The sequence below is a fragment of the Homo sapiens genome, chromosome 10 (genome assembly GCF_000001405.40).
Source record: "Homo sapiens chromosome 10, GRCh38.p14 Primary Assembly".
Lineage (NCBI taxonomy): Eukaryota > Metazoa > Chordata > Mammalia > Primates > Hominidae > Homo > Homo sapiens.
In genome coordinates this window covers 126652134-126677976 of record NC_000010.11, presented here as the reverse complement: position 1 = coordinate 126677976, position 25843 = coordinate 126652134, and the positions used below count along the sequence as shown (strand labels likewise).

Sequence of the window (25843 nt, the reverse complement as noted above, 5' to 3'; positions counted from 1 at the left end):
GGAGTATCTTTGTGGCGTTCTCTGTATTTCCTGAATCTGAACGTTGGCCTGCCTTGCTAGATTGGGGAAATTCTCCTGGATAATATCCTGCAGAGTGTTTTCCAACTTGGTTCTATTCTCTCCATCACTTTCAGGTACACCAATCAGATGTAGATTTGGTCTTTTCACATTGTCCCATATTTCTTGGAGGCTTTGCTCGTTTCTTTTTATTCTTTTTTCTCTAAACTTTCCTTCTCGCTTCATTTCATTCATTTCATCTTCCATTGCTGATACCCTTTCTTCCAGTTGATCGCATTGGCTCCTGAGGCTTCTGCAATCTTCACATAATTCTCGAGCCTTGGTTTTCAGCTCCATCAGCTCCTTTAAGCACTTCTCTGTATTGGTTATTCTAGTTATACATTCTTCTAAATTTTTTTCAAAGTTTTCAACTTCTTTGCCTTTGGTTTGAATGTCCTCCCGTAGCTCAGAGTAATTTGATCGTCTGAAGCCTTCTTCTCTCAGCTCGTCAAAGTCATTCTCCATCCAGCTTTGTTCCGTTGCTGGTGAGGAGCTGCATTCCTTTGGAGGAGGAGAGGCGCTCTGATTTTTAGAGTTTCCAGTTTTTCTGTTCTGTTTTTTCCCCATCTTTGTGGTTTTATCTACTTTTGGTCTTTGATGATGGTGATGTACAGATGGTTTTTTGGTGTGGATGTCCTTTCTGTTTGTTAGTTTTCCTTCTAACAGACAGGACCCTCAGCTGTTGGAGTACCCTGCAGTGTGAGGTGTCAGTGTGCCCCTGCTGGGGGGTGCCTCCCAGTTAGGCTGCTCGGGGGTCAGGGGTCAGGGACCCACGTGAGGAGGCAGTCTGCCCGTTCTCAGATCTCCAGCTGCGTACTGGGAGAACCACTGCTCTCTTCAAAGCTGTCAGACCGGGACATTTAAGTCTGCAGAGGTTACTGCTGTCTTCTTGTTTGTCTGTGCCCTGCCCCCAGAGGTGGAGCCTACAGAGGCAGGCAGGCCTCCTTGAGCTGTGGTGGGCTCCACCCAGTTCGAACTTCCTCGCTGCTTTGTTTACCTAAGCAAGCCTAGGCAATGGTGGGCGCCCCTGCCTTGCAGTTTGATCTCAGACTGCTGTGCTAGCAATCAGCGAGACTCCGTGGGGTAGGACCCTCTGAGCCAGGTGCGGGATATAATCTCGTGGTGCTCCGTTTTTTAAGCCCGTTGGAAAAGCGCAGTATTCGGGTGGGAGTGACCTGATTCTCCAGGTGCTGTCCGTCACCCCTTTCTTTGATTAGGAAAGGGAACTCCCTGACCCCTTGCGCTTCCTGAGTGAGGCAATGCCTCGCCCTGCTTCAGCTCGGGCATGGTGCGCGCACCCACTTACCTGCACCCACTGTCTGGCACTCCCTAGTGAGATGAACCCGGTACCTCAGATGGAAATGCAGAAATCACCCGTCTTCTGCGTCGCTCAGGCTGGGAGCTGTAGACCGGAGCTGTTCCTATTCGGCCATCTTGGCTCCTCCCCCTCGTAGCTGAAAAATTTAACAAGGGAATGGAATTCATCAAGCAAACTTGCATCCTCTTCCTAATTTGATTAAAAGGTCAAAGATTCCTTAGTTGGCCATATTATTCTCAGTTCTTTTGTTTTATTCTAGCAACCCGGCGGGTGGGGACTAACAAGAGGAAAAATACATTGCATCGGTCCTATGTTACACAGCCCTGTAAATTTCACACATCTGTTTTAGAAGGATGATTGCATGGATGCGCTTGCAGCAAGCATTGTGCCTTGGAGAAAGGAGAAAAACTTCAGCACCCACCTGATGAGTAAAGCGCCCATAAATAAAAATGTCATTTCTCCCGTAAGGGAAACTAAATTATGAATTCAGAAATTCATAGTCATCTGTTTTTATTGTTGCCTAATGCTTTTTAGATCTGCACAGGCCCTTCAGAAAATCAACTCCGAAATTCTGCATAATTAGGATATCTTTCATAGTCCTAAATGCTAATCCCATTGGAGAACAGATTAAGAATTCACAGGCATGATTTTTGGCATCAGGTACCTGCAGTTTCTTTTCTTTTTGAATAATTCATTATTTAAATACTTCAGTGCATATTGTATACAGCCCTGCATATTGTCTCAGGGGCAAGGGAGAGGTAAGAGATTAATATCCCATATAGTTCAACACTAAACACATTTGAGGCTCATTTATGTTGATTTGATATCATTGGATTGCAATTGCTAACAATGTTAACAGTTTTAGTCACCCCAGGGACCAATTTAGGGAAATTAAATAGGATATTCTGCAGGACATTAATAAGGTCAGAGATCTAACTTTTATAGTAGTTGACTGAGTTATTTCCTTTAAGAAAAAAACCACAAAAGATTCAGGAAATCATTTTCCATAAACAGTGCTGATTATTTGCAGTAAATATGGCTTCAGTTAGTGCTTTTCCATTCTTGGCTGTGAATGCTTTATGACAAAATGTATGAACAGTATGTAGAAAGTGATGTCCTATGGCTGACTTTTGTCCATGCAATGCTAACTGTGGGGGGTTCAGCAGTAAAGCAGCCATCAGTCAAGACTTGATGCCATACCCCTTCTCCCATGAAGGTTTCTTAGTGTCCTCACCACGCAGATGCTCTCATAGGAAACATTCATTGTGCTTTGAGTAACTGCTTGTCAAGGCATCCGTCCCATTGCTGAACAGTGAACTCCCTTTCATCTCTGTATCATCAGTGCCTTGCACAGTAACTGGCTCAGAAGCACTTCACCTCTGCTTCTTTGATAAATGAATGAATTTTCAAAGATTAACATAAACTCTGTTGGTTGCAAATAACAGGACCTAAGTCAAACAGCTTAAGCCTAAAGGGGAGAGTATTGTAAAGATACTATAGTCACATTGATTCCACATGCAGAATGTGGGCCGGGTAGAACCCAGGGTTCAAGAACTATCCACATGCTCCCATTTCTGGCTTCTGCCTCTCTCTGTGACAGCTCCTTGCCAGAAGTGCTTGCAGTGTTCCAGCCCACAGCCTCAGCTACCCACTCTTGCTCAGTTCCAGGATCAAGATTCTCCAGAACAGACTTTTTCTGATTGGCCTTATGTGAGCCAGGTGTTTCTCCAAGAGTCTTAGTCAGCTCAGGCTGCCACGACAAAATACCATAGACTGGGAGGCTTAAAAAGCAGACATGTATTCTTTCGCAGTTTTTCGAGCTGGAAATCTGAGATCAGGGTGTCAGCTGGACTAGGTCCCCATGAGAGCTCTCCTTCTGGCTTGCAATCAGCCACCCTCTCACTGTGTCCCCATATGTCCTCTCCTCTATGCTCATGAGGAGGGGGTGGGGGAGAGAAAGAGATCTCTGTTCCTCTTCTCATGAGGCCACTAGTCTTATCATGAGGGTCTACCCTCATGACCTAATTTAACCCTCATTACTTTCCAAAGGCCCCATGATCAAGCACCATCACATTAGGAGTTAGGGCTTCTTCATATGAATTGGAGGATACCCAAATATTTAGATCAAAACAAAAGGCTCTGATTGGCCCTATTTGGGCCAGGTGCCCACCCCTGGGCCAGTCAATGGTCAGTCAGTGAGGTCAGAGGCATGGCCAGCTTCTATGGGCACCATATGGGAGGCTTCGGGATGGATGTGGAGGAAGAGTTCCCAGAAGAGCGGGACTCTTGGCAAACCAAAAAGCGTTCAGTGTCCTTGGCAATATGTGTGAATGTGGTGGCATGGTGGTGCCTAATACCACCATTCTTTTGTGACTGTAAATGTGACTGACTTTCTGTCCTTTGGATGAGAACTAGCTTAGTTTGTGCTTGTGTCTGGCACTTCTTCCTTCAGTTGTTTTTGCTAGCATCTAGCATTAAAAATCTATACTTGTATAGTTTTAAAAATATATACTTTATAAAACAGTTTCACACACAACAACCACCTAACGCAATGTTCACAGCTGTCTGCTCCGGGGATGCTAACTCTATTTCCCATTTGAGGAGATCAAGGCTGGCCACCTGCCCCAGTTCTGGGCAGCATTACATGGCAGAGGAAGTCTTGGAGATAGGGTCTTAGGATGGCCAGTTGAGTTCCAGCTTCTCCTTAACAATCTTCCTTCTTTGGTATTAAAATGATGTGTCTGGCAATTTAGAGTCTTTGCCCTTTGGGAGTGATGACAGCTGGTGTCTGTCAGGCAGGTGCCCGGTGCCAGGCTCTGTCCCAAGCCCTTTACTAGTGCCAGCTGCTTCAGTCTCCACAGCAGCCCATCAAAGAAGGCACTATTGTTATCCTCTTAAATGGATGGGGAAACTGAAGCAAGGGTAGTGTGTAGTTCGCCCAAGGCTGCAAGGCAAGCACTGTGAACATCAGCAGGAACCACGTTTTCTTACTTGGAGGCTGTGCTTCAAGAGGGCACAGTGGCTGGACTGTGGAGGTTGTGGCCCTGCTGGAGGGTGAGGAGCAACAGTTCTGAGGGCAGATGGAAGGACATCAGCTCATTCTTCTGCACCCAGCCCCACCTCAGTGACCCAGACAGGAAGGCCTTTCCCAGGGAGGGTGGAACTGCTCTCTGCTGAGCTGTGTCTGCACATGGTCAAAATTGACACACTCTAGAACCCAGGGGTGTCAGAGAAGCTAGGGGGCTTGTGGTTAAAGGGAACTTAAGCCAGAAGGGAGGAGTCTTGTCCACAATCACCTGCTAGTTTGTCTTAGGGCCTAGGTGCAAACCCATCTCCAATTGTCCATCCAGTGCTCTTTCCAGCCCTTGGACCTCTCAGTCAAGGTTCTCTCCCTCTGGGCCTCAATTTTCTCCTCCATATAATGAGGAATTCAATCTGACAATCCCAAGTCTTCTGTCCATCCCTATTGACCAAGAATCCCAGAGACCTGCCTAAGGCCACATTACTGCTTCCTCTTGTTGGCCATACTGGCCAGTTAAGATCCAGCCACCAGCTGTGGTCAAGGGAGAGAGAAAACTCACCCATAGCCTTAATGATCTTTGGAATCTCCATAATCACCACAGGCTGGCTGTGCTTGTGACAAGTGCTCACACTAGCAGTCAGCCAACCATCAGCAAACCTCTCCATGCTGGTCTCGGAGTAGCTGATGACCAGTCCTGGTCTCGGGGTAGCTGATGACCAGTCCTGGTCTCGGGGTAGCTGATGACCAGTCCTGGTCTCGGGGTAGCTGATGACCAGTCCTGTTCTCGGGGTAGCTGATGACCAGTCCTGGTCTCGGGGTAGCTGATGACCAGTCCTGGTCTCGGGGTAGCTGATGACCAGTCCTGGTCTCGGGGTAGCTGATGACCAGTCCTGGTCTCGGGGTAGCTGATGACCAGTCCTGGTCTCGGGGTAGCTGATGACCAGTCCTGGTCTCGGGGTAGCTGATGACCAGTCCTGGTCTCGGGGTAGCTGATGACCAGTCCTGGTCTCGGGGTAGCTGATGACCAGTCCTGGTCTCGGGGTAGCTGATGACCAGTCCTGGTCTCGGGGTAGCTGATGACCAGTCCTGGTCTCGGGGTAGCTGATGACCAGTCCTGGTCTCGGGGTAGCTGATGACCAGTCCTGCTGGCCTCAGCATTGTCCAAGGTCCTTTAATGTGTGTAGTGGTGGAAGAAAAGACTTTATTATTTGTTATCTGCCTTGCGGGGTCTCCTGGACAGGAGCAGATAGACACAAATGGGAGCTGGTTTAAATGGCGTTTTTGGGGACACAGGGAATGACCTTCCCTGTGCCCAAACATGAAGCAGATCCCCTCTTTCCTTGGTGTCCCTGTTCAATTTTCATGTTTTTATTGCTCAAATGTCTCCCATGGCTTTCTTTATCACATTGCTTCCAAATCCAAGATGGCGCTCCATGGTGTAGCTCCCTGGGAGTTTCCAGCATGACTGTCAGGTTTGAGTCAGCCATGGATGCCATCAGTTGGGTGTTGACACTCTCTTTGACATCCTTGGGAGAGCCCCAGGCAGACCCGGGCTGTGTTCTGTTTAAGGAACCATGAACTCCACTTCACTGTGTGATCTTGAGCCAGCATTTAGTCTCTGTAGGTCTTCTACTTTAACACTCAAATGAGAATGTTGGCCTAAATGATCTCTAAAGTCTTTTCTGTCTCCTCCTTCATTGTAGTTCCCATCTTCAATACTTCCATTGCTCCGAAGGTGGAAGTTCAGCATTTTAGCCCCCAAGTCCTAGCCCTGCTGAGTGTGACATGCAAAGCTTCGACCCACAGCAGGAAGTCTCACAGTTCTGGGCTAGGACTGCAGCTCTGTTTTCAGGAAAGTTATCTGGAGGCTCTTCTTCCTTTAGCCTCTCCCATGGCTTTCAATGTGGGGCAGGTGAGTTAATTATTCAAGGGGGTGTCTCTGCCAAGAGAAAGTCACCTGTGGAGAAGAGTTCTGTGTCTGGACTTGGAGCACAGCCACGATGCTGTCATCTGCTTCCTCTTGGCACACACCCTTGATCCAAGGCTTGCCATTTTCACTTCTAAATTACTAGGTTAATAGAAATGGCATCAAAACATTAAATAAAGTGAGGCATATACCATGGATCTGCAATTCTAATTGACTTGAAATTTAGAATCTGATAATTATTAGCATTGTGTTAATCTCCGTTATCATATGTGTAGCGAACACTGTGCAAAATAATTTGGGTAGAGAACGCGCAACTGTACTTTCAAAATGATGCCTAACGTGACTCTATTCTGTGTTGTTGTTTCACTGTTTTGCTCACCAGATCCTAACAATAACCCTGTGAGTGGCAGATGGGGTATTTTCCTTCCAGTCTTCCTCCTGGTAAACTGAGACTCAGGGTGGTGAGGGAACTTCCCATGGTTGACCCAGGACCAGAGCCCCCTTCTAGGCGAGTGGACTCCACCCCCAGCCCCCACGTGATGCGCTGTTTTTCCGATGCCCTCTTGCAGCTGTTGCTGCTTCTGCGCTGGGAGTTCTCTTTTTCACTTGAATGTTTTCTTCTCCAGGGCTGAGGACGCTCTTTGTATTGGTAGGCAGCCTGCACTTGTTCCTTTCAGTCCTGGCAAGTAAAAGCAGGAATTCTAAAAAGCAACGATTATTCCTCCTAGTTCCTTTGTACAGAGCCCTGTAAATAATTTATTTGGATTTGAGGGGGTAGAGACTGACAAACATATTGAATCTCTCAGTAACTGGGTGAATTCTGTGTTCAAAACTTCAATGCAGTGGAAAGAGAAATACTTCTTTGAAATCAGAGAAGACTTTGAGTGACCCGAGAGCTCAGGCGTGAGGCTGGAAACAGACCACAACAAGAAGTTTTTTTTTTTTTTTTTTTTTTTTTGGCACGTAAAGGTCACCCCTGAGGTTCCCACATCCACATCCTTCACAAATGTAGCTGGGATATTGAGACAACTAGCTCTGGAGTTGGAAAACACTGGGACAGGTCCGAGCTGGGGCACTGCCCAAGTCCCTCCTGTTGCACTCAATACCTGGGTTAAACAAAGAAAATTGTGTTTGCCAGTCTCACTAGCTAAAGTCACAAGATACTGAGTCTCATGCAGCACTCTGGAATTCCTACAAAAACTCATCCGCAGGGGTATGCTGCCCGCTACACAGAAACGGCCGTGCATCGGACTTTCCAGATAAAAACATTTAGTACAGAGTTGAAAAACCATGTGATGGTCATGGATTTTGTGAAGAGTAACTGGTTTCCCTCCCAGAGAAGAGCCAAAGTTTGTATCATCCATATGTGTCAAGGCTTGAAGACGGCTGAGCAGACAGCCAGCAGATATGAGGTATGGCTGAGCCTGGGTGGGTGAGTGGGTACACGCTTGACTCAGAGAGAGATGGACGTGTTGCTCATCAGACAGTTCAGGTGTTTTATCTGGTCTAATAAATTAATCATTTGTGTTTGTAGACTTCCCTAAGGGATTTGGAAAAGCCTTCTTCATTTCTGAATTTATTTTAGTTTTTGAAATATGGGGGAGGGGGAAAGTATATCGGATGAAGTTAATTTACGATGACACATGTCTGCATTTACAAACTTTATTGGTGCTCCAAAGACTACTGAGTTGGGTAATTTGTATCCATGTTTAGAAACTACAGCATGTTTCTGTGAGTTAAATATTCTTAGCTCTGTATGTTTGCAATCACCTGTCTTTAAAAGCAAATTCCTACTTGTTTCCTGTTGCGTTTTGTAGGAGAATATGTATGACGTGCCTTCATCGAGTTAAAATAGAATGATTCAAGTTAGGCCAGTAAGAATGATCTTTTATTTTTGAGAGCAAGCTCTAATTTTCAAGCAGAGACAACTTTGTAAAAAAAAAAAAAAAGACAGAGAGTGAGAGAACTTTGGAGATTTAAAATGTCAAAGTGAGATAAACACATTACTCTGAAACATATTTGTATTCTGCAACTAGTATCAGCCACAAGCAGTTATCTTTTCAGAAAGTAAACACGCATGAAATCTGATCGGCTGTTTATTGTACATGGAATAAATTATGAACGACATTGTAATTGACTCCCATATAGCTCATTTACCCATCTCTTTTGATAGATGTAACATGCAAATTGCTAATGCCTTATGAAAAGGTAACCTTTCTGAATATTGATGCTGTTATTAGGAAAGCCTTCCCATGAATACTGGCAAATACGCCAGGTCTTTGTTCCCCAGGCTGGGCAGAAGGAAGCCAGCACAGTGTGGAAGGAACAGGTTTTTCAAGGTTCAAGGCTGGCTTCTTCCAGTTCCAGCCCTGGGAGTGTGAATTTCCATGTTCACAACAGAGATGTAAAGGCCACAGAAATAATGGTGCTAATTAAATTCAGTAATAGTTGTTCATTACTTCATTGCCCAATCAACTGGAGCAAAAGGTGTGCAATTAGAATATAATTGAAAGAAATCAGAGATGTCATTATTCACAAGTAATTAATCAGATGGGGACAGAATTTTATCATTGCATAATTTTCACTGAGGTTATTTTCCAGTCCTCCAGAGAGAGAAAAACTTGTTGAATTACATTATTATGCATTGTTCATAGCTTCATTTTAAACCCTATGTAGCAAATGGTAGATCTGGCATTCTCGTTTTCTTCGTATATAAAACTTCACTGATTCCTATAGCCACACTGATTAAAACAATATGAAAAAAGTACACCTTTTTAGGAGGTTACAAAAAACTTCAAATATATGACAGTCACAGCTACATTTTTTTCAGGGCCCAATACGCTGCTACTATTGACAGCCAACAACCGAGCCACTAATGTTAAAATGAATGCCAGATCCAAGCCCCCACCCACAATCAGTCTGATGGGCTGGATGGGCCTCACTGTGTCCATGACTCCCCAAGTTGTCCAGGAAGGGCCTGCCTCCTCAGCTCTAGGGCGGGCCAAGTTTGAAAACCATCAGATGGGATTTGCACCCCCTGTCCCTCTGAACTTCAAGGTCTGCTCTTGACTTTTGGTAGCAAACATTTCCGATTTTAAAATATTCCTCATCCATTAAACTATTCTTCATGTTATTCCTACCATGACATCTCAGCATTATTTAGATTAGGAAATTTAGGAAGAAGGAAACTTCCTTGCTCAATTTCCCAAGCTGAACTGCTGAGAGACCCCAATTAGCACTTCTGGGTTCTGCCTTTGGACTTGGCCCAGTGACTCCTTCTCTTCTATCAGCTCCAAGGCCATTGGTTAACCTGCCCTGGGCTTTGACCACAAAGTACTCAATGGGCTGACAAATGAGCAGGGTCTCTGGGATGAACTCTCAATGCACAAAGGTGCTAGATTAAAGAAACTGGCTGGTTATCTGGCAAAAGTGAGTTTTGGAGATTTTATTTCTGTAAAAACCTTATGGATTTCAAGTTCTTCCCATGAGGTCCTGCAAATCTGCTTGATTTTAGTGTAAAACCTACAGACTCAAATTTTTCCAAAACCATGGTCTTAGTCCTGAGCTGTCTTAATGGTTGGAGAAGCCACCTCTCACCAGCTGAACTGCAGCCCAGGGATGATCCAGCCACACGCATACCTTTACATAGACTTCCTTCTGATAGGAACAAGGAGCAGAGCCTGCTGCACTGAAAGTTACCAGGATTGGGAGCAGGTGGTGGTGAGGGGTGCTGAAGGTCCCTGGGTTCATATTTTCAAAGACTTGATGTCTGCACACTCTAAAAATGCCCCAAACTCTGAGAAATACAGTTTGTTAAGGGCATGTCTCCCCCTGCGTATGTTTTTGATGAATTTCAGACATCAATGTAGCCATAACTGGAGGATGGGATGAGCCTATATTGGAGCTCTGCCTTCTGTCCGCATGGCAAGCAGGGACACTTTCTGAGACTCTCTATGCAGCAGAGCTTGCGTGGTTTTGCCAGCTTGGGAAGGGAAACCTCATAGAATTCAGTGATGTGCTCATATCTCCTATGGTGTGAATGTAAGTGAGCATCTCCTGATTGATTGTGGAGACCTTTCTGATGGTAGGTGCAGGCTGAGATGCATCAGCTAAGGCTCACCCATCTGTCCTCTGACAGGCGACAGTTTCTAATGCCTTTAATCACTAAATGAGCCAAAGAAAGATTTTGTATTTGGAAATCACTATTTGGCCATGCCTCCTGATATTTTTCAAAATCTCCATCATCATTTCCATCTCCTTTTTCTATTCATTCTTTTAAAAAATTGGGTTTAGTCAGCTGGGTGTGGTGGCTCACGCCTGTAATCCCAGCACTTTGGGAGGCTGAGGTGGGTGGATCACGAGGTCAGGAGATCAAGACCATCCTGGCTAACACAGTGAAACCCTGTGTCTACTAAAAATACAAAAAATTAGCTGGGTGTGGTGGCAGGTGCCTGTAGTCCCAGCTACTCGGGAGGCTGAGGCAGGAGAATGGCATGAATCTGGGAGGCAGAGCTTGCAATGAGCCGAGATTGTGCCACTGCACTCCAGCCTGGGCGACAGAGCAACACTCTGTTTCCAAAGCAAAACAAAACAAAACAAACAAAAAAAAATTGGGTTTAGCCAGTAGTGCTGAATTCTGGCTGAGTAGAATCATAGTGAACTTTTTTTTTTTTGAGACAGGGTCTCACTCTGTCGCCCAGGCTGGAGTGCAGTGGCACGATCTTGGCTCACTGCAACCTCCGCCTCCCGGGTTCAAATGATTCTCCTGCCTCAGCCTCCTGAGTAGCTGGGATTACAAGCACCCGCCACCATGCCCGGCTAATTTTTTTTGTACTTTTAGTAGAGATGGGGTTTTACCATATTGGCCAGGCTGGTCTCGAACTCCTGACCTCATGATCCGCCCGCCTTGATCTCCCAAAGTGCTGGGATTACAGGTGTGAGCCACCGTGCCTGGCCTCATAGTGAACTTTTTAAAGAACTGCATATGCCTCTGGTGCAGCCATGGCCATTGTGACTCAGTGGGCCCAGAGCAGCGTGAAGGCATTGGCAATGACAAACAAGGAAGAACACTTACCAGGTGACTCCTTTCATCTCCCACACCCCTCCTCGTGCTCATGCTTTCCTCTACCTTCTTGAGCTGCTTTAAGGTCCTTGTCTCCTCATTTTATCAGCATCTGTTATTTCTGCATCATTTCTAGTGATTGATTTTCCTCCTGATTATGGGTCATGCTTCTTTGCACACTAGGTAATTTTAAAATTGAATTTTGGATATTGTGAATCTTACATTGTTTGGTGTTTGATTTTGTTAAGTTATTTGAAAACAGCTTGACCCTTTTGAGGCTTATTTTTTCGATTTGTTTGGGCTTGTTGAAATACCCTGGGGATATTTGGTAATGTCTGCAGACAGTTTGGTTGTGACAACCTTGGGGAAAATGCTACTGGTGGCTAATGGGTAGAGGCCAGAGATGCAGCTAATATTCTACAATGCACAGGGCAGTGCCACCTTCAACCCCGCAACAAAGAACTACCTAGCTGAAAATGTCCATGGTGTTGAGGCCTAGAAACCCTGATGTGGGCTAATTTAGTCCCAGTGTTACAACATGACCCTTCTGAGGACTCTACCTGATGTCTCATGTGTGACAAGGTGTTTGTACCTGGGCTGGCGGGAACCTAAATTGCTTCCAAATAGCTCCTGAATGATGTGACCTACCACTTTCTGGAAGTTCTTTTCTTGGTTTCAGGTATTTTTCTCTTGGGCAGGTGCAGATCAGTATTCAGGCAAAGACCTGGGAAGTTCCCTGCAGGCTGCTGGAATTCTCCTTTGCAGTTCTCCTCTTCCTAAATTCCAGCTACATTGGCCTCTCTAATTTCCGTCTCTACCTCCTCCACTCAGCAAAGACCCCAGGCTCAGCTGAGTTTCCCCTCCTAAGCTGCAGCCTGGACACTGCCTCCAGGTGGGGACAATTGTAGGACTCACCTCTCTTGTTTTCCTCCTCTCAGGGGTCATAGTGCTGCATTGCTTGTTGTTCAATATCTGGAAATCATTGTTTCCTAGCGGTTGTCTGGTTACTCTATCATGGCTGGAAGAAGAAGTCTCCCAGAGTGGTTTCAATATCCCACCATAGTTTGGAAACTTAGCTCTGGGCTTTGATGAATGTTTTCCAGTGGTTGGAGTACACCGTTCAGTCTTGTAAAATAAAAGCACTCAAGTTAAGTACTTGGGCTTCAAGAGAACTTGATTCAGGAAATAAAGAGGTCACTGAGACCAAACAGGAGGTAAAGCGAACATTTCCTTTCTTCTCACAGTTATCAAAAGGTGCAAAACAATTTTCCCTATTTCCAGACCAAGTTGAAGAGCTTAGCCAGATCAAAGCTTTTGGAGTCTCACCTTTCCCCCTGAAGTCCCGGCCTCCAAGCAGTATTTTTGCTGTGATGTGCTTATGGCTCTGACTGCAGTGAAGACTCTACCTCCAGCCTGAGGAGGGCTGAGAAAAGGCTGTTTCACAAAGGGCAATAAAGACTTCCATGAGCTCTGCCACTCTGCCAACAGGCTGGGAGCCCCTGCCTCACTCCTGTGCCTTGCCTGCTGTCTGGTGGGTGCTGGGGCTCCTCCTAGAAGCCTCAGCTCAGCCTCCACTGGCAATGGCTGATGGCCTCCATTCAAATGCAGACATGAGAAGTCCAAGAGCCAAGAGGGAAATGAAATGGCTGTACTTGGGTCTCAATGCTGCCCTGTCGCCATATTCTTCCAGCCCTCCCTGCACCTGTCAACTGGAGCTGCCTGTCAGAGGGCAAGGTCCTAAAGAGGTGTGAGGAGTTAGAGGTCTGAAGTCAGTTTTGTTGCATCAGGAGGCATATCTGAAATCTGGTGAGTGAGGTCTCCAATCTCGCTACAATGGACAGTATTTAATGAGAGGTCAAGTGTGAGCTGACCCAGGGCATTGGCAGCTAAGGCTTATAAGGTCTATCTGACATCATTTTGGTAAATTTCCACCAGGGAATTGGGAACTTGTGGGGAGACCATATCCACATTTCAGCCAAACTAAGGGAGAGAAGAGACGGCAGATGAAAGGTGGTGGTGTGGTTAAGAGAAAGAGCACCGGGTTGAGGCTGTCTGGGCTCTCACCAGCTAAGTGACCTTGGCAATTTTCTTCTCTTTGAGCCTAGTTTTCTCATCTGTGTTCATAGGAAAAATGATAATATCTGCCTTATAGCGTTGCTGGGGGCATTACAAGAGATAACCTATATAAAGGGTTAAGTCTTGGGGCTAGCATGGAGGCTGTACCCCGTGAAAGTGACACAGAGCCACGGCACCAAGAAGTGGCCCCTGGGTGCAGGCGAATTGTAACCAGTGATTTATGGGTGCTGCTGCTTTGTAAGCAGGTCTTGTTTAAATTGGGGCAAAACACTTCCTTTCCCTGCTTCCCCACACTCAGAGCGTCAGGTCACAGAGACTTATGACCTTCTATATTCTTGGCTCAGGGTAATCTCCATCCCCCAAGCAATTCAGAGATTAGTCATCAAATTGGCCAGGACCTGAATGCACAGTTTTCATTTAGAGCACGCCTACTCCTGGGGCCAGCTGCAAATTCCATCACGGACAAGAGACTCTTGAGAGTGTGAGTTCTTCCACACCTGATTCCCTCACGATAAAGCTAGGGCTAAGGTAGAAAGCATTAATGAGGCATTTTCGACATAAAATGGACCTCCCTAGGGGCAAGGATCTAAATGGGGTTTTACCATCTTATGGAAGATTGCATGGCCCTCACACCTTAGTGTACTTTAGAATCCTTAGAACTTTCTGAGAATTCAGACCCCTGGGTTCTGGGAGGGGTGGCATCCAGAAATCTATGTTTTTAAATAGGGTACTTGGTGGTTTTTTGCAGTTCTGAACCCATGATCTGCAAGTTCTAGACCAATATTTTCCAACCGCATGAACCCCAAAGGAAGTCACAAAAAAGCCAGCTGAATTGTCCATGTTAAGAAAACTGGTGTGTAGAAGGGCAGGGGGTGGGGGCAGATGTGAGTCAGAGAGGACAGTGTGGAAGCCAGGACCACTGCGTGCAAGGAGAGCTGAGAGACGGAGATGGAACAAAAGAGGCGGGTGTCAGCTGATTTCCTGAATTGCCTCATTGAAGCTCACCACAGCTGTGTGAGACACATGAGGCCTATTTTTCCAAAGAGAAAATTCTGTGAGGCCAGAGAGATGGTGCAGGCTGCACAGTGACACAGTTAGGAGCGGCGGAAGGAGGATTCCATCTATGTTACGTCTTCTTCTGCAGATTATACTTCTCACGTGGTGCTGGGTCGGGGGCAGCACATCTCCTGACAACAACAGCTAGAACCCAGGGAGGTTCAGAGCTAACTACAGAGAAAGTCAACTACACCAGGATCAAGTGATTAGGAGCAGTTATCATGCCCCTCTAAATCGGGTGCTCTTTCTCTTTCCTTCTGATTGAGACATTTGTCCCTCCGCAGCTTTCTCACTGATAACTTCCTTACAGTTCTGAGGACCACATGTGTTCTTACCACCCTCTGTTTTTGCCACTCTAGGTCCTCTTCCTCCTCTAGTGGAGCAGACAGATTAAAGAGGAAACACCTGGGCTGGCTCTTGTAACAAATATGTATTAAGGACCTACTGTGTGCCAGGAACTGTGGTAGGTGCCGGGGACACAGAGGACAAAGAGGCTTATCATCTGATCAAGGAGGCACCCATCCCAATGATGCCAGGCCAGGGTGTCTACCCAGATTGTGGATCCAGAGAACTCAGCAAGAATGCACGGAGGCACCCATCCCAATGATGCCAGGCCAGGGTGTCTACACAGATTGTGGATCCAGAGAACTCAGCAAGAATGCACGGAGGCACCCATCCCAATGATGCCAGGCCAGGGTGTCTACACAGATTGTGGATCCAGAGAACTCAGCAAGAATGCATGGAGGAGACCTCTGGGCACATTCTTTATGGAAGAGTGGGAGGTTTCCAGGCGTGGGGGGACAGAGAGAGTATAGGCAAATAGGGAAGGGGAGGACATTTTAGGCAGAAGGAATGGCAATTTCTGAACGGGGGCACAGGAAGGGAAAACCTAAACAGAACCCAGTAGTCTCTCTGAGCTGAGAAGACACAGGATGTGACTGTTATTTGCAAGGCACACTTCTTGAGAGGAAAAAAAACAGCTCCAGAAGTTTGCTTCAGGCCCTCTTAAGTCTGGCTGAAAATTAATCTGTGCTGTGTAGGGAGAAAGTCTCTATGACCAGACAGAGAAAACTGGCAAGGAAAGAACATCTTACTGGGGAGCTGTGAGATGAGCCTTTCTCAGCACTACCTCAGAGCCATGAATCATTCGGGTCCTTTACCACCTGGAATGTAGAGACCTCACTGAATACAGGGAAAATCACGTAGAGCCCCGAGGAGGGTCATGTCTTAGTAGTGCGGCTAAACTAGCCTCAGTAAAGGCTACCCTAGATCCACCCATAATAATTTTAAAACCAGTTGTTGAAATAATCAAGCCATTCCTCAAGTGGTTTAGCTGGCAAACAAAGTTCAACTTTTTTTTTTTTTAACAAGACTACAACAAAATCCAGCAAGCAATAATATAAAATTTACAATGTCTGTCATCCAATCAAAATTACTAAACATTCAAAGAATCCAGAGCATATGACTCATAACCAAGATAATACTGGTTAGTAAAAACAGATTCATTAATGATGCAAATGAGAGAATTAGCAAGCAATGATCTATTAAAAGGCTATTACAAATATTATAATTATATTGTTTGCCCTTTAAATTCAAGGATTTAAGAAAAGACATCACCATAATGGGGCAAGAAATAGATGATTTTTAAAAAAGAACTTCTTGATAAGAAAAAAATGACACTATCTAAAATGGAAATTTTACTGGGTGGGATTAACAGCAGATTGGATGCTGCAGAAGAAAAGATCAATGAACTTTCCAAAATGAAGACAAGAGAGAAAAAAAAAAAAAGAGAGAGAGAGCAAGAGTGAGATTCAGAGAGGGAGAGACAGCAAGAGAGAAAGAGCACTGTAAGATCTATCTGACATCATTTTGGTCAATTTCCATCAGGGAATTGGGAACTTGTGGGGAAACCATATCCACATTTCAGCCAAACCAAGGGAGAGAAGAGATGGCAGATGACAGGTGGTGGTGTGATTAAGAGAAAGAGCACTGGGTCGAGACTGTCTGGGTTCTTACTAGCTGAGTGACCTTGGCAATTTTCTTGTTCTCTTTGAGCCTAGTTTTCTCATCTGTATTCATATGAACAATGATAATATCTGCCTTATAGCGTTGCTGGGGGCATTAAAAGAGATAACCTATATAAAGGGTTGAGCCTTGGAATTGGCATGGAGGCTGTACCCCATGAAAATGAGTTGTTGTTGTTGTCCAAGTTTGAACATATGTTTTCCTGCCATCTCCAACTCTATCATAGAGCCATGGCACAAAGACGTGGCCCCTGGGTGCAGGCAAATTGTAACTAGTACTTTATGGATGCTGCTCCTGTGACCTGGAGGATGATATCAAGAAGCCCAACACACATATGATTAGATACACAGAAAGAATGTGGGGGAGGAGTGAGAAGAAAAAAGATTTGAAGAAATAATGGCTAAAAGTTTTCCAAGTTAATGACATTTGTGTCAAGCATACAATAGCAGAAGCCAGATTCTCAAGGTTGTCCCATGCCACGTTAAGTGTTTCCAAAATCATGGTCCACAGGGTTAACAGTAGGGGTTCTCCAGTCCAAGGGAAATGATCACCATGCACAAATTAACTGAAGCAGCTAGCTGCTGTACTTATGACTGAGATGATATCAATTTAAGGCAGGATCATGTATTGTGTCTGTTATGATTGGCTATTAGAAAAAGGAAAAAATCTGGCAGACACAATCTGTATTTGTTTTTTATTGCTGCCTAACAAATTATTACATACATAGCAGCTTAAAACAACACCATTGATTATTTGTAGATCAGAAGTCCTGGTGTAGGTTAGATGGCTTCTCTGATTAGGATGTCTTCAGGTTGAATCAAGGTGTCACCTGAGACTGTGATCTCTGAGGCTTTGGGATCCTCTTCCAAGATCACTGGTTCTTGGCAGAATTCAGTTCCTTGTGGCTACAGGGCTGAAGTCCCCATTTTCTTACTGGCTGTTAGCCAGAGACATTCTCAGCTTTTAGAGGACTGCTTCAGGTCCCTGTCTGAGGCTCTAGCCGTGGGCAGCTCACAATACGTTGTTTGCTTCTTCAAGGCCAGAAGGAGAATCTCTGCTACTTTGAATCTCTCTGACTTCTATAAAAGGCTCACCTGACTAGGTCAGGCCTGTCTGATATAATCTCCCTTTTGATTGACTCAATGTCAACTGATTAGTAGCCTTAATTATGTCAGTAAAACCCAACCCTTTTGCCATATAATGTAACTTAATCATGGATATGATAGCCCGTCATATTCATAGGATCTTTTCACCATCAAAGACAGGGGAACATGTAGGGCGTGTACACCAAGGGGAATCTTAAAAATCATCTGAGTATTTGGCCTGCCACACTATATTTTAAATTTTTGCATCTGTGGAGTAAAGGAAATAGAAGGAGCCCTTGGGATTGAAAGCACGTAGGTTGGAGTCTCTGTCTGGGAGCTCCATGAGGCAAAGTGCACATCATCTGCTCTAGCTCACCATGTGCCCCTGGCACCAGACCAGCACTCAGTAGACGTTTGTGGGATGCATTATGAACGAAGAAATGAATAAACAGAAGTGCATGCGGTATGTGTTAGATGAGCACCTGGGGCCAGGGTGCATGATGGTTGATTAGTCAGTGCATGTAAGAGATCTTCCTTGATTCAATACTTACATTAGTCTCTATTACAGATTCACTCATTTTTCAGTGATCACAGACAGACAGATGGACAAACAGGTAACAGCTCTAGTTTGTCCAAATGAAGCTAAAAATGAAGGTCACTTTGTATGATCAATGTTTTCATTAATCCAATTCCAAAAAGCAGAATTATTTAATTTCCTCTCTGTGAGTCTAATTTATATCTCTTCTCCATCTAGAAAGGACTTTGAGACAGCTCTAAAAATGAGTATCTTGGAAAATATCCCAAATTTAGGAATAATAACGTATTAGAGAAACCAATAGGGCCGAAGACAAATGGGAGAAATATTTTCTCAAAGTAAACAACACGTCGCTTGCTATTTTATGTCTAATGCAAGCAACCACCTCCCAGCAGAGTAGCCAGCAGCCAGGGGCAAGTGCATTGGCAACCAAGGGCCTATGTCAGGGCTCAGATGCCTCTGATTCAGCCCTCAATTTACAGAAAGTTCACAGATCCCCTTATTTTAGCCACAAATGCACTCAACTCCTCACTGATGCTTTCTGGAAACTGCCAGCTTCTCAGTGCATGGCTCTAGGTTGGCTGCCTCATATTGCGCTAGTTTTCAAGGCAGCCTGTTTGGTGGTGATGTCCTGGGTCAGCTGTGTGAAAGGGACTTGGCTATTGGATATGCAGAGAGGCTCAGAAGTGAATGGGAGATGCCGTGTGCTTATATCCTCACTGCTGATTGGAAGTAGGAAAGCTCTGTAGTTCCCAATGCGTGCAGCCACTGTGCTGGCTGTCAGATATACAGGAAAAGAAACCATGAAGACTCTGTGGAGTAGCTCCACAATAATGGCTATTTATTCAGGTTCAGCCTCTGCAATCTGGAGGAAGCTTGCGAAATGAAAATCTGATTCCCTTGTTTTAAAACTAGGGAAAGGGCTAGGAGCAATGGCTCACGCTTGTAATCTCAGCATTTTGGGAGGCTGAGGTGGGAGGATCATTTGAGCCCATTCAAGACTAGCCTGGGCAACATAGTGAGACCCCATTTCAATCAATCAATCAATCAATCAATCCATGAAAATCAAGGAAAATTGTCAGCAATGGTACTAAAATACAAATAATTTTCATTCTATTCTGTAGCCTGTCTCTTGACTTTTTTACAGTGTTTTAAATTTGCTATTTAATGGTGGTCTAAGTAAAAATTAAAATGTTAAATTATTATCACAAATTTTACTGTTCAGCTTTACATTGTGCAATGACAGTTTTAACACAAATACAAAAACCATTTAACTCACAGGTGGATTCACCTAAATGACAGAGTTCATGTTTTTTGTAGCTTATAGACGCATATATGTATTTCATTCAAACCAGAATAATGGAAGTGCTGCAAACAACAACTCAACTGTTTTTAATTTCATTGCTTCCTATAATTTTACCAATATTCTCTGCCCTTTGGCCTGCTGATGAGTGAGGAAAGACTACAAGGAAAGGAACTAGGGTTGCCCTGTCTTTCTTTTCCTTCTGTGTCATCACTTCAGCATAAGTGGCTGGCTATACAGGGAAGTAGCATGAGTAAGAGAGATTTTGATAGGGCTACTGATCACTCATGTTTTTCAGAACATCACTGCCTTCTGTCTGCCTTTGAAGTCAGTCTGGTTCCAATGGGAAGCGGGACCTCATGGCTGTCGGCATTTCAACGTCCTTGTTCTGGGACAGAATGCGCTCACCTTGTACTCACTGTGCATCTTCCTGAACTCCCACACCCAGACTTTGTAGGTTCACCCAAAGTCTGTGAATGAGGAGCACCTTATGTCAATGGGGTGGTGAGGGAGTGCATGTGCCTCCTCTGCCCCCAGCATGCCCCATAGTCCTGTTGGCTGCCACAAAACACAAGTTCAAAGACAAAGTATTGGTAGCTGGGCACAGTGGCTCATGCCTGTAATCCTAGCACATTGGGAGGCCGAGGCAGGCAGATCACCTGAGGCTGGGAGTTCAAGACCAGCCTGATCAACATGGAGAAACCCTGTCTCTACTAAAAATACAAAAATTAGCCAGGTGTGATGGCACAAGCCTGTAATCCCAGCTACTCGGGAGGCTGAGGCAGGAGAATCATTTGAACCCAGGAGGCAGAGGTTGCAATGAGCCGAGATGGGGCCACTGCACTCTAGCCTGGGCAACATGAGTGAAACTCTGTCTCAAAAAAAAAAAAGAAAAAAAAAAAGACAAAGTATTAAAATTTTCAAGATGGTGATATCAAAAGCACAGCCCCACAAAGGAAAAAAAATTGATCAATTGGACTTCATACAAATGGAATATTGGGTGCATTAAAGGACACTCAACAGAGTGAAAATGCAGCCCACCTTTGGATGAACTGTGAGGATATGATGCCAAATGAAATAATCCAACACAAAGGGACAAACGTTGTTGTACTCTGCTTATATGAAGAACCCGGAATTGTCAAATTCACAGAAACAGAATGTAAAATAGAGGCCCCCAGGGGCTGGGAGGAGGAGGAATGGGGAATTATCATTTAATAAGTACAGAGATGCTGTTCAGGATGATAAAAAGGTACTGGAGATGGTTAGTGGTGATGGTTGTACAAATTGTGAACGTGCTCAATTGTGAACTTGAAAATGATTTAAATGGTGAATTTTATGTAGTTTATATTTTACCACAATTAAAAAAAAACATTCAAAATAGTGACATTAAACTGAATGAATGGCACTTCTGAGTACTGGCCCCTATGCAGATTCACGGGTCTCACACCCATGAAACTGGCTCTGCACTTACCTGTGTTTACAGAACACAAAGTATGAATGCCTGGGATGGTTGTCAGTTATAGGTTCTTTTGTTGGACAGTGAGATCCCTGAGGTCAGGTGCATGTCCTGTTTCCCGAACTAGTTGTATGTTTGTTGAATTGAAATTCTAAGCTAAGTTGAAGCTTATTCACAATATATTTGTTAAAAATCAGCCTTATTAAGATATAACTTACATACATGATTACTCATACGTTTTTGAAGCATACAGTTCATTTTGTTGTGACAAATGGGTACAGTTGAACTCCAGTACCAAATCGTGACATAGGCCATTTCCACAAGCCGAAAAGTCTCCTGTGCCCTTTGCACTCAACGCACTTCCAAGCCCAGTCCCTGGCAGCCGCCCGTCTGCTCTCTAAAGCTATAGCGTTGCCTGTTCTGAAATGTCTTGTAGCTGAAATCCTGAAGTATGTAGTATTGTGTGGCCGTGATAAATTTCGGTTACAACTTCTAGCATCTTAATTAAAGAAATGATGTTCTACTGAGGCAGCAGAGGAGCAAGGGCTTGGCCTTGATCAGGTGACCTTGGATATGAATCCTGACTCTTCCATTCATTAACTCTTCAATTTTTCATGGACTCTTAGCTGCCTCAGTGTCAATTGCCTCACATGTAAAATGGAGTTACTAAGAGTACCTTCTTCTTGTGCTGCTTTGAGGCTTGAGTAAGCTGTGTATGAGAAGTACTTAGGGAAGCCCTTGGCTCATAATAAGAGCCCAAAAAGTTATTGATCACATTATTATTGATGTTATTATTAATAAGAATAACATTTCTTTGCCTTTAGAATGGGATTACAGTAGTACCTTCCTTTGGGAGTTGCCATGGAGATTACATAATGCCTGTGAAGCATTTAGAATGGTGCCTGGCCCTTGGTAAGCACTCCATGGTGTGGCTGCTACGATTTTTCTGTTATAAAGCTCTTAAGGACCAAATTTTGCTAGTGTTCAATAAGCAGAAGTTATCACTTCCCCTAATTCTGAGAAGGTGTGAAAGTCAGCCACGAAAAGGACTCCTTTCTGTCAGTCTGGCTGAAAAAAATCACAGAAAGCAACCACCAGTGGTAAAATATACCAAATCTGAAGGTCTTCTCCCCCCCAGGCCCAGGGCATGCATGTCATGGAAACAGGTGAGCCAGGGAGCTGGAAATGCCTTTGTTCTTCTTCTTTTTTTTTTTTGTTTTGTTTTGTTTTGTCTCTGTTGCTTTGAAAGAAGAAAAACAACAACTGAGTTAAAAGTTAAAGGGTCAAGTGGGCTATTGAATTCCCAGAACTCTCTGAGGTGTTCCAAAGTCAGAGTAACTTCAGTGTATTTGATTTCAAAGTATTTCAAACTGTTCAGGACTCTAATTGGGGGAAAGTAGGAAGCGGTGGTAAACAATTCCTGGGGAAGGACATTTCCACACAGAATGAGAAATGGACTCAGTTCTAGAATCATCAGCTCACATTGTCAAGTACAGCTCATTCTATTGCACTTTACTTTATTGTACTTTGCAGATATCACATACTTTACAAGTTGAAGGTTTGTGGCAATTGTATTGGTCAAGTCTATCTGTGCTGTTTTTCCAAAAGCATGTGCTCACTGGGTGTCTCTGTGTCACATTTTAGAAATTCTCACAATATTTCAAACTTTTTCATTATTATATCTGTTATGGTTATCTGTGATCAATGATCTTTCATATTACTATATATATATTTTTTTGAGACACAGTCTTGCTCTGTTGCCAGGCTGGAGTGCAGTGGAACGATCTCGGCCCACTGCCACCTCCGCCTCCTGGGTTCAAGCGATTCCCCTGCCTCAGCCTCCCTAGTAGCTGGGACTACAGGCACGTGCCACCATGCCCAGCTAATTTTTGTATTTTAGTAGAGACGGGGTTTCACCATGTTGACCAGGATGGTCTCGATCTCCTGACCTCATGATCCACCTGCCTCAGTCTCCCAAAGTGCTGGGATTACAGGTGTGAGCCACCGCGCCCGGCCTCATATTACTATTGTAAATGTCTTGAGGTGCCACAAATTGCACCCAGAAAACATACCAAACTTAATCAAGAAACTGCTCCAACAGCCCAGTTGTTCTCTCACCTCTCTCCCTCTCTTAAGCCCTACCTATTTCCTGAGCTACAAAAGTATGAAAATTAGGCTAATTAATAAGCCTCTGAGTGTTCAAGTGAACGCTCAAGTGGCCTCTGAGTGTTCAAGTGAAAGGAAGTGTTCACATCTCTTGCTTTAAATCAAAAGCTAGAAATGATTATGCCTAGAAATGATTAGTTTAGAAATGATTAAGCTTAGTGAGGAAGACATGTCAACAGCCCAGTCAGGCTGAAAGCTGCGCCTGTTGTACCAAAGAGTTAGCCAAGTTGTGAATGCAAAGGAAAAATTCTTGAAGGAAATTAAAAGTGCTACTCCAGTGAACACAGGAATGATAAGAAAGTAGAACAGCCTTATTGCTGATATGGAGAAAGTTTGAGTGGTCTGGATAGCAGATCAATCCAGCCACAACATTCCCCTAAGCCAAGGCCTAATCCAGCCATAATTCTATGAAGCCTGAGAGAGGTGAGGAAGATACAGAAAAAAAGTTTGAAGCTAGCAGAGGTTGGTTCATGAGGTTTAAAGAAATAAGCTGTCTCTATAACATCAAAGTGCACGGCGAAGCAGCAACCCTAATGTAGAAGCTGCTGCAAGTTATCCAGAAAATAACTGATGAAGGTGGCTAAACTAAACAACAGATTTTCAATGGAGACTAAACAGCCTTCTACTGGAAGACGATGCCTTCTAGGACTTTCATAGTTAGTGAGGTAAAGTCAATGCCTGGCTTCCACAGGACAGGCTGACTCTCTTGTTAGGGATAATGAAGCAGGTAACTTAAGTTGAAACCAATGCTCATTTCCCATTGTGAAGATCCTAGGACCCTTAAGAATAGTGCTAAATCTACTCTGTCTGTGCTCTATAAATGGAACAACAAAGCCTGGATCACAGCATATCTATTTACAGCATGGTTTATTGACTATTTTAAGCCCACTGTTAAGACCTGCTGCTTAGAAAAAAAAAGATTCCTTTCAAAATATTACCGCTCATTGACAATGTACCCAGTTACCCAAGAGCTCCGATGGAAATGTACAAGAAGATTAGTGTTGTTTTCATGCCTAACACAACATCCATTTTGCAGCCCATAGATCGAGAATTAATTTCGACATTCAAGCCTTATTATTTCAGAAATACATTTCCTAAGGCTATAGCTGCCATAGAGAGTGATTCTGCTGATGAATCTGAGCAAAGCAAACTGATAACCTTCTGGAAAAGATTCACCATTCTAGATGCCATTAGGAACATTCATGATCCGTGAAAGGAGGTCAAAATAGCACATTAACAGGAGTTTGGAAGAAGTTGATTCCAACCCTCATGGATGACTTTGAGGGGTTCGAGACTTCAGTGGAGGAAGTAACTAAAGATGTTGTAGAAATAGCAAGAGATCTTGAATTAGAAGTGGAGCCTGAAGATGTGACTGAATTGCTGTAATCTCATGATAAAACTTTAATGGATGAGAAGTCACTTCTTATGAAGGAACAAAGAAAATTGTTTCTTGAGATGGAACTATTCCTGGTGAAGATTCTGTGGACATTGTTGAAATGACAACAAACAACTTAGAATATTCTATAAATTTGTTGATAGAGCAGTGGTGAGGTTTGAGGGGATTGCCTCCAAAGTCGAAAGAAGTTCTACTGCGGGTGAAATGCCTCCAAACAACTTCACATGCTACAGAGAACTGTTTCGTGAAAGGAAGAGTCAATTGATGCAGCAAACTTCATTGTTGTCTCATTTTAAGGAATTGCTACAGCCACTGCAGCCTTCAGCAAACACCACCCTGATCAGCTGGCAGCTGTCAACACCAAGGCAAGACCCTCCACCAGAAAAAGATTGCAACTTGTTGAAGGCTCAAATGATTAGCATTTTTGTTTTAGCAGTAAGTAGTTTAAAATTAAGGTATGTACATTTTTTGACATAATACACCTTTAATAGAATATAATATAGTGTAAACAACATTTCTATGTCCTGGGAAGCCAAAAAATTCATGTGGTTTGCTTTATTGTGATAATCTGCTTTATTGTGGTGGTCTGCAACTGAACCCCCAATATCTCTGAGGTATGCCTGTAAAGAGAAAATGTTACAAATGATAAGAAACATAATAGAACATGCTGAAAGGAATACTTAAGTAATCTGGGGAAATCTACCTCTTTCATATACGAAATAGTTCAGCTAAATTTGACTTGGTAACTGGGTATTTAACATGCCTATATTTTGGAGTTATTCTCCCCTCATGGCTGATGTTTGCATAGAAATCTCCAGCCAAGTGCTTCATCCTTGCTGCTCTCGCTTATACCTGCAAACACACAGGGAGCTGAAGTCACCTGATGGGAAAATGAAGAGTGAACGCTCTGCAGACCACATCTCATTAGACAGCCAGGGGAGGCTGTCTTCCTCCATGCACCTCCAAGAGCAGAAATAGTAGGAATAATATATCCACTTTACATCCTGATTCATCTCATTTTCATATCAGAACCCCACCAGCCACCACCCTTGAAAACAAAAGTGAAGGAGAAATAAGGAGAGACAGATAGATTGAACTGCAGCATCCTCATTCAGATCCTAACAAGAGAACAATCCTACCATTTGCAATCAGATAAGGGATATTATCTCAGTAATAAAAGGCAATTGAGAATCTAAATGAAAAATCTAATGCTTTTCATGCTGATTTATTTTAGATTAGAAAAAGTTAAACCAGATGTAAACATGAAGAGATGAAGCATGAAGAGGGAATCATGGTAGAGCAATAAATCTCAGTTTTGAGTTATTATAGGTGCAGGGTTGCATTAACCAGAAAATACAC

At 44.0% G+C, this 25843-nt stretch overlaps 1 protein-coding gene across 5 annotated transcripts in view, besides 2 other annotated features; it reads left to right on the top strand.

The window, feature by feature from the left end:
- Positions 569 to 1109: an enhancer, noted in NCBI's record as "H3K4me1 hESC enhancer chr10:128365437-128365977 (GRCh37/hg19 assembly coordinates)". NCBI's record gives its function as "activates a minimal SCP1, AML or CMV promoter by ChIP-STARR-seq in naive H9 embryonic stem cells {active_cell/tissue: H9 hESC(naive)}" and the evidence as "EXISTENCE:reporter gene assay evidence [ECO:0000049][PMID:30033119]".
- Positions 5036 to 5258: a silencer, noted in NCBI's record as "fragment chr10:128361288-128361510 (GRCh37/hg19 assembly coordinates)". NCBI's record gives its function as "represses an EF-1alpha promoter that drives an FKBP-Casp9 reporter gene in an ReSE screen in K562 erythroleukemia cells {active_cell/tissue: K562}" and the evidence as "EXISTENCE:reporter gene assay evidence [ECO:0000049][PMID:32094911]".
- The window catches only part of C10orf90 (chromosome 10 open reading frame 90), a 245697-nt gene continuing 227137 nt past the window's right edge, over positions 7284 to 25843 (top strand). For all 5 annotated transcript variants that reach the window (NR_146939.2, NM_001350922.2, NM_001350921.2 and 2 more), the window contains exon 1: positions 7284 to 7736. Coding sequence is in view for 4 of the 5 variants with exons in the window: in NM_001350922.2 (NP_001337851.1) it covers positions 7497 to 7736 (240 nt within the window). In the remaining variant the exon portion in view is untranslated. The remainder of the gene's footprint in view (positions 7737 to 25843) is intronic.